Source organism: Homo sapiens, chromosome 3, assembly GCF_000001405.40.
Source record: "Homo sapiens chromosome 3, GRCh38.p14 Primary Assembly".
Taxonomy (NCBI): domain Eukaryota; kingdom Metazoa; phylum Chordata; class Mammalia; order Primates; family Hominidae; genus Homo; species Homo sapiens.
In genome coordinates, this window is record NC_000003.12 from 119539548 (window position 1) to 119556202 (window position 16655).

General features: G+C 44.1%; 1 protein-coding gene across 1 annotated transcript in view, besides 4 other annotated features; it reads right to left on the reverse strand.

Moving 5' to 3' along the window:
* CD80 (CD80 molecule) overlaps positions 1-16655 on the reverse strand; it is a 35322-nt gene that overhangs the window by 15255 nt on the left and 3412 nt on the right. Inside the window, exon 3 of the mRNA NM_005191.4 lies at positions 5003-5320. Coding sequence (NP_005182.1) covers positions 5003-5320 — 318 coding nt within the window. The remainder of the gene's footprint in view (positions 1-5002; positions 5321-16655) is intronic.
* Positions 10765-10984: an enhancer, noted in NCBI's record as "active region_20305". NCBI's record gives its function as "activates an Ori minimal core promoter by ATAC-STARR-seq in GM12878 lymphoblastoid cells {active_cell/tissue: GM12878}" and the evidence as "EXISTENCE:reporter gene assay evidence [ECO:0000049][PMID:35858748]".
* Positions 14353-14452: an enhancer, noted in NCBI's record as "active region_20306". NCBI's record gives its function as "activates an Ori minimal core promoter by ATAC-STARR-seq in GM12878 lymphoblastoid cells {active_cell/tissue: GM12878}" and the evidence as "EXISTENCE:reporter gene assay evidence [ECO:0000049][PMID:35858748]".
* Positions 14683-14732: an enhancer, noted in NCBI's record as "active region_20307". NCBI's record gives its function as "activates an Ori minimal core promoter by ATAC-STARR-seq in GM12878 lymphoblastoid cells {active_cell/tissue: GM12878}" and the evidence as "EXISTENCE:reporter gene assay evidence [ECO:0000049][PMID:35858748]".
* Positions 14793-14972: an enhancer, noted in NCBI's record as "active region_20308". NCBI's record gives its function as "activates an Ori minimal core promoter by ATAC-STARR-seq in GM12878 lymphoblastoid cells {active_cell/tissue: GM12878}" and the evidence as "EXISTENCE:reporter gene assay evidence [ECO:0000049][PMID:35858748]".

Here is a 16655-nt window from a genome sequence, read left to right on the forward strand (position 1 = left end):
AGGCCTTCCTAGCATTCCTCCAAGACCCTTGAGGCACTGTTTCATTTATATATTTGATCCCCATAAGATTCTGAAGTACAAAGTACAGGAAAATAAATGCAGAGAACATAGGAGAAAGATACCTAGCGGCTTCGTCACTTATTCTTACACATAAAGAGATTAGCTTCTTAGCATGAATGTAGGGATTCAATCTCCTCATAGAGTTAGCTTTCTTTTCAGAATTCTGAGCCCCACAGAGATGTCATGTAGCATATGGTCATCAAAAGCAGGTTTTAAAACCAGTTCTGCCTTGTGACCCTGGGTCAATAACTTACCCACCTTTAGTCTTAGTTTGCTCATCTATAAGATAGGGACACTAATACCCAGGGTTGTAAGAATTAAATGACATCGTTCATAGAAATCACTTAGCACAGAGCCTGACACACAGGAAACTAAATAGTCTCACTCTGTTGCCCAGGCTGGAGTGCAGTGGCACCATCTTGGCTTACTGCAACCTCCGGGTTCAAGTGATTCTCCTGCCTCAGCCTCCAGAGTAGCTGGGACTACAGGAGCCCACCACTACCATCTAATTTCTTGTATTTTTAATAGAGATGGGGTTTCACTGTGTTAGCCAGGATGGTCTCAGTCTCCTGACCTCGTGATCCACCAGCCTCGGCCTCCCAAAGTGCTGGGATTACAGGCGTGAGCCACCACACCCAGCCAATGATAGCTATATTTAAGTGGGTCTTGAATTTATCCTCTCTTAGGTAAGCCCCCTCATTTAAATCAGGTTGCCAGGCAAACACTTCCAGGAATGCCTTGTGGCACCTACAATAATGAGGATAAAGGGAAGCCATGACAAATGATGATAATTGCCAGGAAAGAGGAAAAGTTGGATTTGGTTGGAGGTGAAGTTACCTTTTTTTTTTGTTTGTTTCAATGAACCCTGTCCCTAAATGAAGTTTGATATGTTCCTGAGCCACTTTTAGTTGGCATTGTTATTTCCCACTTATTAATTTATCCTATAAGATCGACTCATGACACAGGCAGCTGATATCTAGAATATTCTGTGTTTCTTATAACATCAATATGTTTTGTGTTATAACTAGGAATAATAAATCCAAAAACTCATATCCTAAATTATTAATATGATTCATGTTCATTTCTGTGCTCTGCTTTTCTGGGAAATAAACTACAGGAATGCCACTCATACCAGGAACTGTATTAAAAATCTTTTCAAGGCCAGGTGTGCTGGCTCATGCCTGTAATCCTAGCACTTTGGGAGGTCAAGGCAGGAGGATCGCTTGAGGTCAGGAGTTTGAGACCACCCTGGACAACATAGTGAAACCTTGTCTCTACTAAAAATAAAAAATTAGCCAGGCATGATGGCACATGCCTGTAGTCCCAGCTAGTTTGGAGGCTGAGACAGGAGAATCGCTTGAACCCAGGAGGCAGAGGCTGCAGAGACCCGAGATCACGCCACTGCACTCTAGCCTGGGTGACAGAGTAAGAGACTCCATCTCAAAAAAAAAAAAAGTTTCAAAATCTTTCTTGGCTTAGAACAGCCTAAACTCCATCTCCCACCTTTTTTCTAAGGTGATCTGTTTAGGGTAACTACTCCTGAGGTCTTGTGAGATTGTGAACAATCAAAGACGTTGTAAGACTGTAACCTTTGTATCTCATTTTAATTAGTTAACCCAATTTTTACCACTCTTAATAGGAAAGGGTAGGAATGTCTTACAAGGAAAGGAATAGGTGCACATGTTTTAGGAGGAAAAATCCATTAACCTAGTTAAGCTGTTAACGAATGTAGCTAGTTCTCAAACATGCCAGTTAATGGAGGTTTTCATATGGCTATGCTGATATTATATTACCATTTTGCAATCTTAGACAAATATAGGGTAACCAACGTGTCCTATTTGCCTGAGACTTTCCCAGTTTTAGCACCAAAAATCTTGTGCCCCAAATAAACCCTTTGGTTCTGAGCAAAGAGGATACCTGGTCACTCTAGCCAAATGAGAGCTTAATTCCTTGCTTCTCAAATTGTGGTCCTCCACAGCAGCACAGGCATCACCTGAGAGCTTGTTAGAGGTGCAGAATCTCAGATCCAAACCCCAGACCTACTGAACTTAAATCTGCATTTTTAACAAGACCCTCAAATGACTCATAGGCTTATAAGCATTTGAGAAACACTGCTTTGACTCAATTGGAAAATTCAGAATGCTTCTCAGCAAAATTAAGCGAGTGACCTTTTTGTCTTCCCTTTACTGGATTTTGTCCACCCACACACCCTCGGTTCTGAGTACCCCAGAAATCTCACATTGTCCCCTTAGCTGTCCTTGGTCTCTTACGGTAATCTGCTAATAGGGCCTGCCCCCCTTGAAATGTTTCCTTTTCTCACTCTTGGATTTTCTTCTTTATCTTTCTATCCAAATTCACCTGACCTGAGTCTACTTCTCTCTCGGTAGTCCATTAGAGGACTACGTACCTAATGTAATTAACTAATACAGGCTAATATATTTGTGGTGCCACCCCCCACCCCCCACCCCAGGAAACACATTTTCATTTTAACAGGGATCTTTTAGGAGGAAAATGGAGAAACTAGCAGGAATGGCTATGATGATGAGAATTTCAGGAGTCAATGCAGGTGAAAATCGTGGAAGAGGTAGGCTTCTTAGTACCCCTCAAATCACATCACCATATAATAATTTATTCTATCCAAGAGCAGAGAAAACACTGAGTGAAGTTTAAGATAGTTCCATGTAACTTTGGCTTACTCCCCACAACTTTAGGTGTGATCTGGATGTCACAAGTAAAGATTCATAGCTAATGATTAAAACAAAGAACAGTAAGGAATTCACTACGGATCTGCTGAAGTTATCTATTATCAAGGTTAATCATTATGTTTTATTAAGTAAGAAGTTTGGTTTTCACTAGAGGCTCAAGTCCCAGGGGAAAAAGAAATATGTTCAAATTTCAACTGTGAGAAAATGGCTCAGGGATATAATTTCTCAAAAAGGGCTCTGGCTCCTTCAGTATCCTCTGTTATACTGTAATTAAAGTGAAACCCCCTTTGCAAAATTATGACTGAGACAGTGAAAGAGATCTAACTTAACTGACTCCATCTTGCTTCTAACCTCCAAGCTATCTTTGTTCACTCCTGGGTGTAGGCTGAACTAACTTTGGTAGAAACTTAGTTTATAGTTTATAGTTTAAACAAAGATGGTAACAGCCCTTTCCCAAAGCAGACCTCCTTCTTGCCTGGGGAGTAGATTGCCTTTGTAGGACTAACATTAGCCACAAGATTAGAAATTATGGTTTAGGAGTCATAAAGCTGGATGCTATGAGATTCTGACCCTCCCTAAACTGCTCCTAAGATCAGTGCTTGAGCTATTTTGCAGCCCCTGCACTTGATGGATCAGCTGGCACCACCCAGATCAATAAACTGACTCATCTGATCTTGTGGCCCCCCAACCCAGTGCAAGAAGACAGCTTCAACTCCCTATGGTATCATCCCTGACCAATCAGCACTCCCAGCTCACTGGCTTCCCCCGACCCACCTAGTTATCCTTAAAAACTCTGCTCCCCAGATGCTTGGAGAGACTGATTTGAGTAATGATAAAACTCCGGTCTCCCGCACAGCCAGTTGTGCGTAAATTACTCTCTCTATTGCAATTCCCCTGTCTTGATGAATTGGCTCTATCTACGCAGCAGGCGAGGTAAACCTCTTGGGTGGTTACAAAAGCAAGGGTCCTTTCTTTCCGAGACCAGAAATGCTTGCCTTCCACAGTAGGTACATAAACAGGGCTTTGATTCATAAATTAGTTTTTTTCCTTGTGGCAGGAATTAATTATGCATCCAATTCTCTAACTTTTTTTTTTTTTTAAGACAGAGTCTCTACCAGTAGGGAAATGCTCACCCTCCTCTGTAGTCTACTTTTTTTTTTTTTGAAACAGTCTTTGCTCTGTCACCAAGGCTGGAGTGCAGTGGCACCATCTCTGCTCACTGCAACCTCCGCCTCCCAGGTTCAAGTGATTCTCCTGCCTCAGCCTCCTGAGTAGCCAACACGTCCCTGGCTAATTTTTGTATTTTTAGTAGAGATGGGGTTTCACCATGTTGGGCAGGCTGGTCTCAAACTCCTGAGCTCAAGCCATCCACCCACCTTGGCCTCCCAAAGTGCTGAGCCACCGCACCTGGCCCAATTCTCTAACATCTAATTTTTCAGGACTGACTGCTAGATTAGAGCTTCAAATATGCAATAAGTAAATTATCACTTTGAAAATATTAGAATATAATAGTAAGATAGCCATAGTAATAGACGTTCACATACTACCTGAAAAAGATTTATGCCTCCATTGTTCTTTTTTTTTTTTTTTTTTTGAGATGGAGTCTTGCTATGTCACCCAGGCTGGAGTGCAGTGGTGCAATCTCAGCTCATTGCAACCTCCGCCTCCCAGGTTCAAGCGATTCTCTGCCTCAGCCTCCAGAGTAGCTGGGATTACAGGAATGCGCCACCACATCTGGCTAGTTTTTGTATTTTTAGTAGGGACGGAGTTTCGCTATGTTGGCCAGGCTGGTCTTGAACTCATGACCTCAAGTGATCCGCCTGCCTTGGCCTCCCAAAGTGCTGAGATTACAGGCATAAGCCACCATACCCAGCCCCGTTACCTTTTCAGCATACTTTCACAGGCATATATTGCTGGGTCAAGTGCAGTTAGTAGCAAGGCTACATCAAATCAAAGATGCCCCTTGGTGATTGAGAGGCTCTTTAGGTCATTATAGTGCCCCAGGATGATTGTCATGAACTTGGATTGTCAAAGAACAAGAAATGCACATTAACAGATATTTCCAGGACATCTTTAGAAACCAGTTAGAGTTTATTGTACAACTAGAGACTTAACTCCAAGAAATGAAGTGAGATACATCCCTCTTTGGTAAAATTTTCACCTAAATCAATAGCCATGTGTCTTTAAGGGCATTAAGAATCTGCCGGCCTAGAGTAAAATCAGAAAATCCCACCAACCTTTGACTGATAACGTCACTTCAGCCAGGTGTTCCCGCTTGAAAGCGTCTTTTTCATACTTCAGAACAACACACTCGTATGTGCCCTCGTCAGATGGGCGCAGAGCCAGGATCACAATGGAGAGGTTATTAGTGATATCAAAGATGGTCCGGTTCTTGTACTCGGGCCATATATTCATGTCCCCAGACATCATAGTCAGCACCATTTTCTTCTCCTTTTGCCAGTAGATGCGAGTTTGTGCCAGCTCTTCAACAGAAACATTGTGACCACAGGACAGCGTTGCCACTTCTTTCACTTCCTTGGTCACGTGGATAACACCTATGGAGAGGCAAACAGAACAAGATTGTATATTTATTAAATACAGATTCCTGCATGGTCAGGAATCCAAAGTCGGCAGTAACAGAACTTAGGGTGTTGTGTCTAGTGACTAAGTATCAATCCAGTTTGATTTTTGGGGTCCCCAATGCTTTTTTTCTCTTCATTTTTTAAAAATTGTGGTAAAAAACACAACAGGCTGGGCGTGGTGGCTCACGCCTGTAATCCCAGCACTTTGGGAGGCCGAGGCAGGCAGATCACTTGAGGTCAGGAGTTCGAGACCAGCCGGGCCAACATGGTGAAACTCTGTCTCTACTAAAAATACAAAAAATTAGCCGGGTGTGGTGGCGGGTGTAGTAATCCCAGCTACTCGGGAGGCTGAGGCAGGAGAATCACTTGAACCCAGGAGGCGGAGGTTGCAGTAAGCTGAGATTGCACCCCAGCCTGGGCAACAAGAGCAAAACTCCATCTCCAAACAAACAAACAAACAAACAAACACATAACATAAAATTTATCATCTTATTGATTTTTAAGTGTACAGTTCAGTAATGTTAAGTATATTCACATTGTTGTGAAACAGATCTCTAGAAATTTTCATTTTGCAAATCTGAAACTCTATGCCCATTAAACAACTCCCCTTTCCCCCTCTCCCCTCAGCCTCTGGCAATTGCCATTCTGTTTGTTTGTATGAATTTGGCTACTTTAAATATCTCATAGAAATAGAATCATACAGTAACAGCCTGTTTATGATTGGCTTATTTCACTTAGCATGATGCACTCAAGGTTCATTCACGTTGTAGCATATGATAGGATTTCCTTCCTTTGGAATGGTAATGATATGATCATAAGGATAATGAATAATATTACACACACACCCCCCCCCACATTTTGTTTGCCCATTCATCTGTAGATGGACATTTGGCTTGCTTCCCACCTCCTGGCTACTGTGCTGCTATGAACATGGGTGTGCAAATATCTCTTCAAGACCCTGCTTTCAATTCTTATGGATATATGGAATTTTGGGGTCATATGGTAGTTCTATTTTTAATTTTCTGAGGAACCTCAATAGTGTTTTCTATAGCAGTTGCACCCGCAATGCTTGTTAAAGGTTTTGGAAGTCACTATCTAGAAAAACTAAATGTGATTGCATAAAAAACAAATTTGGTTTTGAAAACAATGAAGACAAATCACTAAAATCAGACTCATGGACCAATCATTATAACATAACCTATCCCCTTCCTTTTTCTTGAGAATTTTCCAATGACATGCAAGATTTAGGAGCATATGAGCCTTCTCTCACAGCAGGCAATTTTTAGTCCTATTACTTCTTATTTGGTTTACCTAACACAATACCACCCCCAAGAGAAGTCAGTCCTGACTAAGGTTCTGGGTACAGTGGTGGTGGAGGAGGGCAAGGTGCTGTTGCCCACCTCTGTCTAGATAGCCTATATTGAATTACTCTTCATACTATTTCCTTTTTTTGCTTCCTCTGTGGTGGCTCTATGGAGGGGACAGGTGCTATGTCATTTAATCCCCCAACAACCCCACAAGATATGTATTATTTTCCCCATTTTGCAGCTGAGACAACTGAGAGATTGAGAGGTTCAGGAAGTCTAGGACAGGGCAGGTCAGCCTGAGATTCCAAGGGCCTATGATTCTGCAGTCATGACGAAGAATAAGGGAGGGAGATGAGGTCAACTAAGAAGAAAAAAGAGGGCCATACTTTAAATAGGTAGGGAATATAATCAATCTTCATTATTCATGAATTCTCACTTACAGAAGGCCTCCTTCTTGGATCTGTTGCCTGGTCACTTGATTAGGTAATTTTCAGCTACTACTGCCTTGAGAAATAAGGAAGAATTTCACTGTAAAGACCTAGTCTCTGATGCTCACTGCCTTTTCCCTTGCGTTTCTCCTACAGCCCCTCTCCCCACAATCACGTGATGCAACAACACACACACACACACACACACACAGATATGCACATGTACACGCATTCATTTAAACTACAGAACTGCATTTAACCGTGGGAAAAATCTAAGAATAAATTTTATCCAGATTAAGTGAGCTAAAGACAATCCATTTCATGTGACTTCAGTGGCGTGGCACAGGAATAAAACCTTCATCTGTCACCTTAATACACATCCTGATTCCTCCCCTTTTCACTTGAGTGACTTAGGATTTAAAGCTCTCAGGACTGCCTACTTCCCTACCTACCTTAAAGGCAACCATGACTAAGTGCACCCTGCTAACATCCTTGCCTAGAGGCTCCTGGTTGTTGGTATAGAAAGAACATGGGCTTTTTTCATTCAATAAAATCCACAGTAGTTGTGTGACCTTAAGCAACTTACTTTACTTCTCTGAACCCCAGTCTTCACATTGGTTATTATGAAGATTAAATGAGATAATTTATGGCAAGCACATACTGTAATTCAATGCCTAGACCCACACCAAATATGAATCCCATTCTCCTTTCTCCAAGGGGGTGGGGAATTTACCAACCTCTAAGGCTTTTGATTTCGTCTTTGGACAATTTGACTGAGGAAGTTTTGCTTTGCTTTATGTTGAAGTCTGTTTCCCTCTAGCTTCTACATGCATTACAAAACACATCTCATTCTTCTTATGTAACAAGACTTGCAGATATCTGAGGATACTTATATCCTCTCTCAGACAGTTCTGCAGGTTCCCATCTGCCCCTGTTCCTTATTGATGTACTGAAAGTGAGTACCCTCACTTTCCTCACTACACAGTTTGATTTGTGTGTATATTTTTTTGAGAGAGCGAAGTCACTAAATCTAGCATTCCAGACATCCACTGTGTGATTGGCTCAGAGTAGAACCGGGTTGTCACTTCCTTTACCTAAATCTATGTTTGCAGCCTAAAGTTGAATTCAATATATTAGCAGCCACCTTACACCTTTGATATAACTATTGATATACTGACAAGCAAATTGCCTTATTTTTCCACCTATACATACCACTGTGTGCTGCTCCTACATCCAGTTCAACACCCCACCAAATGGGTAAAGCTCTTCCAGTGACGTTATCTTTCAAGAGTTATCCAGAATCTTCCCCTTCCCTGAATCTCCATAAGACGACACATCTTTCTTTCTTTTTTCTTTTTCTTTTTTTTTTTGAGACGGAGTCTTGTTCTTTTGCCCAGGCTGGAGTGAAGTGGCGCGATCTCAGCTCACTGCAACCTCCACCCCCAGGTTCAAGCAGTTCTCCTGCCTCAGCCTCCTGAGTAGCTGGGATTACAGGCGCCCGCCATCATGCCCAGCTAATTTTTGTATTTTTAGTAGAGACAGGGTTTCCACCATGTTTGCCAGGCTGGTCTCAAACTCCTGATCTCAGGTGATCCTCCCACCTCAGCCTCCCAAAATGCTGGGATTACAAGTGTGAGCCACCACGCCTAGCATGATGAGACATCGTGAGCATTCAGAAATATGGAAAGGCACCTGCTTGTCTTATGTATATAGCCAGATGCCTATGGGCCAGGAGTTGGGGACAGAGACAGGGATCCCTAGTGAGTGAGAAAGTCCACTGGTCCCCTGAGAAGACCTGAATATAAGTGCCAACCATGGGTTAAACGATGTGCTCAGCCCCAGGGGATATGAAAGTCATAGTAAGGAATGTGAGATCTGGAAGGGACTTCCATGATCATTCATTCTCGTGGCCTTATCTTACAAATGAGGAAACTGAGCTGAGGAAAAGAAACTGCCCCAGTTTTACACATTTTTTTCTTTCTGGCCCAGGCTTTTAGGGCCATTCTTCTTGTTTACCGATTTCTTCAGTTTTAGGCCACAGTCAGTAAGTTAAGCCAACACTGTCCCCACCCACCCCAATCCAGCCCTACCACTGAGCCCTTTTGCTATAAGAAACAGAGTCCCAGGCCGGGCATCATGGCTCAAGCCTGTAATCCCAGCACTTTGGGAGGCTGAGGTGGGCAGATCACGAGGTCAGGAGTTTGAGACCAGCCTGGTCAACATGGTGAAACCCCATCTCTACTAAAAATACAAAAAAATTAGCCGGGCATGTTGGGACACACCTGTAATCCCAGCTACTTAGGAGGCTGAGGCAGGAGAATCACTTGAACCTGGGAGGCAGAGGTTGCAGTGAGCCAAGATCACACCACTGCACTCCAGCTTGGGTGACAGAGTGAGACTCCGTCTCAAAATAAATAAATAAATAAATAAATAAGAAACAGAGTCCCTTTCTTTCCAGGCCTGATTGATCCCATGGTTCCAGGCTGAAATGACTCCCATGCTTATACCTTTGGACTATTTCTACCATCTTCAGGTACCCTAAATGGATCCTATATCCTGCCTTTATCTCTTTGGCTATCTGCAGTCCATGCCATACAATTACCCTCCAGCCTGGATTTGCTAAAAGAGTTTTTATTTAAAATATTCTGTTCATTTCTCCATCCACATAGCCAAGAAATATCAGCATATCAATATCTAAACTAGTCTCTGTGTCAATAGCACCAAAATTCCTTAGCAGGCTGTATTTTCTGATTTTTGGTTTAGAAGGCATGGTCATTCTTCCTAGGCTCTTGTAGGACCTAAAAGCAGCATCCCTCTAAGGCCCCAGCGCCCCCTGCCCAGTGCTGTCGTACTGTGCCTTCTGGGCCCTGTATCCCCTGGAGCCACACAGATCCCCTTAGGGAGACCCATGTCTAGGGACTTCATTTCCAAGCCCTCTCTTTTCTTAGATAGCAGGATCATGGGGCACTAGCACCTTTCCATCTCACCAGCCATTCTCAGGCCTCTGTCAGACTGGATACGGCCCCACCACAGCACTGAACAAGAGAGTTTTGTGATGGTGGGTATTTGCATAGCAAAGTGAGGTAATGCAGAAAGGTCCAGGCACCTCTTCAGCAATTGTGTGGAATGTTGCCAGTCCCTGCTTTAGGGAATATAACTGAAAGAAAGGAAGAAATAAAAAGACATACTTGAAGGGAGCATATTTCAAAGTGAAGCTATATTAGCTAAAGATCAAATGACAACCCAGACACTCCTAGTGTTGCAAGGAAAGCAAAATGAGACGTAGAAGGAACATGGGCTATCCATCTCCATTGACTTGGATTCTAGTCCCAGCTCAGCCACTTGCTGTTTCATCTGTTTCTTCATCTCTAAATAGGTATGACACCTACCCCTTGGGATCACTGGAAAATTCAGTTCAATTAAATGATATAAATAAAAAGTCCCAAGGACATAGCAGGTCTTCTGTAAGAGTTTCCATTTTTCTTTCTCCCTCCTCCCACTGCCAACTCTTACCTTTCATTTCACTCAAGGGTTATGTCAGATATATAGCACTCTGGTCTTGCTATGGGCCAGACAGACAGCAACTCACTTGTCTGGGCCTCCCAATAATAGGGTCTTTCCCCACCGAACTATTCATTCCCAGCCAAAAAGAATCCAATATTTCTCACTGATTTTGGTATGTGGTGATGTTAGCAAAAGTGAAAGCATAGCTGAAAGAGAGACTATCTAATTTTGGTGATGGCTTCTGAGGAGTTTTTGTCCAGCCTTCTGAGGAGAAGAGTGAAGAAGAACAGGACTAAAAAGAGGAACCCAAAATCTTCCGAACAATTTGGAAATTCACACGGGAACCCAGTTTTCGGGATTCCACCACACAGAGACAGAAAACAGTCATTATAAATTTGCCCAAATTTATATCAGTTTTGTCTGTTTTAGGGACTCCATCACACACGGACAAAAAGCAGTTGAAACGGAAATGTCTCTAACGATTTTGTCTGCTTCAGTGACTGGCGGGGAAAGTCAGCACCTGGAAATCTCAATATTACTGTCTCAAACCTGGTTGAACTTCTGAGCTTGCTTTGCCATTTTTGAATGGGCATTGTAACACCTACCCAACCCAGTGGGTGCAAGGATTCAAAATGAGATACTGCTCATAAAAGTCCTCCACAGTACCTAGGACATTAGAGGGAGCCAGTGTCTTCCCCAGAGATCCACACAGTTCAGGTCCCACTTTGCTCACATCTACTCTCGTGGCCCCTTGTCAAAGAGGCCTTCCCTGACTCTCCTTGAACAGCGCCATCCTCCCTGCCCCCCTCCATCCTGCTACTCTTTAGTCTCTTTGCCTGATTTGTTTCTCTTCAGGCTTGTCTCCAGCTGATATATATTTTTACAACTGTGATGTATATTTACAGGTATATGTGATACATAATTACGTATGGAGCTATGGAGCAGAGGCTTCCTCCTTTGTTCACTGCCATATCTGCAGTGTCTAGAACAGGGCCTGGCCCATAGTAGGTGCTCAGTAAATACTTGCTGAATGCATGTCTAGGCATGAGGAAATGAGGTCTGGCTCCATCCACTGTGTATTAGAATCATAACCTTGAGCAAGCTGGGTAACCTCTCTGGGCTTCAGGTTCCATCTCTGTAAAACAGTCATAATACTATTGCTATGATTTGAATGTGTCCCCTAAAGGTTTTGTGTTGGAAATTTAATTCCGGGTGCAACAGTGTTGAGAATTGGGACTGTTAAAAGGTGATTAGGTCATGGAGACTCTGCCATCATGGATGGATTAATGCCATTTTTTTGGGAGTGGGTTCACTACAGCAGGAGTGGCTTCCTTATAAAGGATGGTTTTGGCCTCCTTCCTACTCTGCCTTGGGCGTGCTCTCCTGCCTTTCTATCCTCTGCCATGGGATGATGCAGCAAGAAGGTCCTCATCAGATGTGAGCCCCTTGACCTTGGACTTCCCAGCCTCCAGAACAGTAAGAAATAAATCTCTGTTCTTTCTAAATTACCCAATGTCAGGTATTCTGTTATAGCAGCACAAACCAGACCGAGATAACTATCTTCCCTGCTTCACATAATTATCACAGCGATCACAGGATACCAGATGTAAAGTGCTTTCTTAACTTTAGAATGCTCTACAGATTTTAAATGGGGCTGTTCTTTCTCATGCACAACAGCCTGCTTTGCTGAACCACACCCCCATAGGACCAGCATCACCATGGTAACTGGCTGATTCTTGAACTGAGTTCAGTGCCCATAGCTGGCATGGGGAGCCCCTCCTGCACCTCTACCCAGCAGCAGTCAGAAAGGGCCAGAGGCTGTGAAAGGAGGCGGAGAGAAGGCAGAGATGGACGGCAACGCTGCTCGCCTTCTGGCGAATGCATGGAAACTGCCCACCTGTAGGGCACAATAGGGACACTCAACACTGCTGGCCTCAGCCTCTGCCTCTCCTGACCCCTTGGCCACCCTCCTGCTCTGACCACTTCAACTCTGGACTGCTAGCCACACAGGAGAGGAAGCTATTTGCCAACAAGAGTAGAGACCAAGAATTTTAGACAAATAATGGACCTCTCGGCCGGGCGTGGTGGCTCACGCCTGTAATCCCAGCACTTTGGGAGGCCGAGGCAGGCGGATCAGGAGCTCGAAGATCATCCTGGCTAATACGGTGAAACCCCGTCTCTACTAAAAATACAAAAAAAATAAATTAGCCAGGCGTGGTGGCGGGCTGATTTTTGTGTGGAGGACTTTTACGAGCTGTAGTCCCAGCTACTCGGGAGGCTGAGGCAGGAGAATGGCGTGAAGCCGGGAGGCGGAGCTTGCTGTGAGCCAGAGATTGTGCCACTGCACTCCAGCTTGGGCGACAGAGCAAGACTCTGTCTCAAAAAAAAAAAAAAAAAAAAAAAAAAGGACCTCTCAAGGGCTCAATCTAGGCCAGGCACCCGTAATCCCAGCACTTTGGGAGCTGGCCAAGGCGGGTGGATTGCTTGAGCCCAGGAAATCGAGACCAGCCTAGGCAACATAGCAAAAACCCCATCGCTACAAAAAGAAAAAATAGATCTCAATCTACAACAGAATATTATTTCAGAATATTATTTGGCCGTAAAAGCGAATGGAGTACTAAGACATACGCAACATGGATGAACCTGAAAGACATAATGCTCAGTGAAAGAAAATAGTCACGAAACGCCACATATTGTAAGAAATGTCCAGAATATTCTTTCTTACCTGGATTCTGGAAAAAAAGGAAGAGAAAAGAAATGTCTAGAACAGGCAAATTCATAGAGACAGAGAGTAAATTAGTGGTTACGAGGAGATGGGGTACAGGGGAATGAGGAGTAGCTGCAAATAGGCGCAGGTTTCTTTCTGGGATGATGATTTCCATCATCATCCAGAACATTTCCTTCTGGAATTCGATAGTGATGGTGGTTTCACAACATTGCAAATATACTAAAACCCACTGAATTGTACACTTTATTTATTTATTTATTTATTTATTTATTTATTTATTTATTTATTTATTTACTGAGGCAGAGTCTCGCTCTGTTGCCCATGCTGGAGTGCAGTGGCATGATCTTGGCTCACAGCAACCCCCGCCTCCAGGGTTCAAAAGATTCTCCTGCCTCAGCCTCCTGAGTAGCTAGGATTAAAGGCACGGGCCACCTTGTGTGGTTAATTTTTGCATTTTTAGTAGAGACAGGGTTTTACCATGTTGGCCAGGCTGGTCTCAAACTCCTGACCTCAGGTGATCCACCCATCTCGGCCTCCCAAAATGCTGGGATTGCAGGAGTGAGCCACCGTGCCTGGCTGAATTGTATACTTTAAAACGTTGAATTTTATGTCATTGCAAATAAAACATGAAGGGAAAAGAAGAATCCATACTAGGAAGACCTGAGTCTTCCCCACCCTCTCCGTGCAGCCTGGAGGCCTGGAGGATGCAGTGGCCAGTCTGCAGTGCCCCTCCCAGGGAGTTCAACCTCAGCAGCCGTTAGAGAGGCTGCCCTCGCAGGGGTCTGGGAGCTGCATCACCACTGCTAGTGGAGAAGGGAGAGAAGCAGTTGACACAACATCTTTTAACTCACCAAATGACGGGACATACATGATCTCCCTGGAAACACAAGTGTGCTTTTTAAATAAACATTTTCCCTGACTATGAAATAAACATTCTTAGAAAGAATGGAAGATATAGAAAAGCGTGAAAGTCACCTATTGTCTCACCACCTGGAGATTTTACCGTTCCTGGTTTGTGCACACTCTTCCAACAGGAGTGACCCCCCTCTAAATGTTTGATTAGGTGAACTAGCACCGACAGGGCTGGTGTCAGCCCTGGGCTAGGTGCTAGCCACACAAAGGAGACAGGCAGAGCTGCCTCTGGCAGCCACAGGCTTGAGACCTGTGTCTCCTCGTGTTCACACTGTTCCTGACTTTTCCCCCTGTTTAGACCCTGCTCATATACTCTGTACCATCTGATCCTTACTTTTTCTCTTTCTAAACAGTATTTATATCCTTAAAATGCACAGGGACTTGAACAGCTGTTGTCAGGGTGATGATGGCAACAATCACTGCTCATGGGACCCCTGGGCCAGCAGCATAGCGGTGTGTGTTGCAGGGAGAGGAGGATGTGTTCTGTGAATGGTGGCACTTTGGGGTATTCTCTTTTCTCCTAGCTCTGAGTTCTCAGACTATAAACTTATAGGCAATGCTTTTCCTACATCTCTTGCCTCCTCCTACAGGAGGCCTTTCCCCTCTCCTTAGACCTGACCCTCTCTTAAAGGACTCCAGCTCTGAAGGAAAAGCTGCCCACATTGGTCCCTCTGAGGGCTGCCCTGTTAGAGCCTCTGCCTTACTGCCACCAGTTGCTGGACTATAAAGTCAGGCGTTTCTGCCTCCATAGACAGTGCCTGCAGGCCTAGAGGGGGAGAGGAGCCTGGCTGGTTCCACCCTGTGCATGAAAGAGGAGTCCCTTCCCCTGGGCATCAGTGGCTGGGCAGGAGGAGAGGGGGAACACCTCTGCCATGGTGTGGCAGGAGAGGAAGGCCTAGTGTGGCAAATCTCTGCCCTGAATAAAGCCCTCTATAATCCTACTCCACTGTATTCACTGAATCTCACCTCCCACAGACCATGCACACTCACACCTACACTCCCGTTGAGCAGTCCTCACTAATTTTACATGGTACACACTCTCCAACCCATCAACTTCCTTCTGATCCAATTCTTTTCATTAAAGACATCATCAGTTACTGTAAGTTACTGAAATAACCTCCTAATAGGTTTTGCACAGTCACTGTGGCTGCCCTACAAGCCACTCTGTTCTTCAGTAACACTTTTTTCCTTTTAAAGTTATTTACACCTTTACTACTGAAACTCAAAGTGTATGGTGGAGCAGCATCAGCATCACCTAGGTGCTTCTTAGAAATGCAGAATCTCAGGCCCCATCCCAGACCCACCTAAGCAGAAACAGCATTTAAAAAACTATATAGACTTTATTTTTTAGAGCTGCTTTAGGTTCATCGAAAAATTGAATGTAAAGTAACCCCCTCCCCACATATTCACAGCTTCCGCCACTGTCTACATCCTGCGCCAGGGCAGTACACTTGTTACAATCAATGAACCTACATTAACACATCATTACCACCCCAAATCTAGAGTTCACGATAGGGGTCACTCCTGGTATTGCATATTCTATGGATTTGGGCAAATTTATAATGACTTATATCTATCATTACAGTATTATGCAAAATAGATTCACTTCTCTAAAAAATTCCCTGTGCTAGAAACTGCAATTTAGCAAAACCCCCAGGCTATTGGTATGTGTAAAGAGTGAACAGAGCTGGGGTAGACCACGCCACTCTCCTGGGTAAAGCCCTTCCAGCTTCCTGAATAACATGCGGATTCATGATTATAACTCACAAGTGCTGCAGGGTCCGGTTCTTGCTCACTGGGCCAGTCCCTCCTCTGCTACTTCCCAGCTCACTGCCCCTTCTTGCTGGCAGAGGAAGACAGCACTTCCTCAGGCAGTGCCTGTGCCCTGCCTTCAAAGCACGTGGCTTTGTTTGTTGGCCACACTTTAACACATTCATTTGAGTGGCTATTGGATTACTTTTCCTCTTTCCAATGATAGTAAATTTCACAAATGCAAGAGCCATGTCCCCAGGACCAAGAAAAGTCTCTTGGTTTTAGGAGATGCTCATGTTTGTTGAATTAATAAATGATTAAACAAAAGAATGAACACCTGTGCCAGCCTCATCCTTACCTTTGTGCCTTTGTCCAGGCTGTTGCCCTGACCAGAATTCTCTCTCCATCATCCATCTGCCTCTGTAAAGCCTGCCCTCCTTCCTGCAGCCCAGTCTGTTACCCACTTTCCCAGATCTTGGGCTCCTACAATCAGGGCAAAGCATTTCATTGCTCTTTGCTTGTTCTACATGGGTTAGCTTTGCATTTCCGCAACTAACATATGCAGACCTCTTTGAGTGCAGGAATCCTAGCCTCAACTTTTATGGCCCACCTGGCACACAGTAGGTGCTTCATTGACTCAGTCACAGCAGCAGTAAAACCAGGATGTAGCTAGAGAA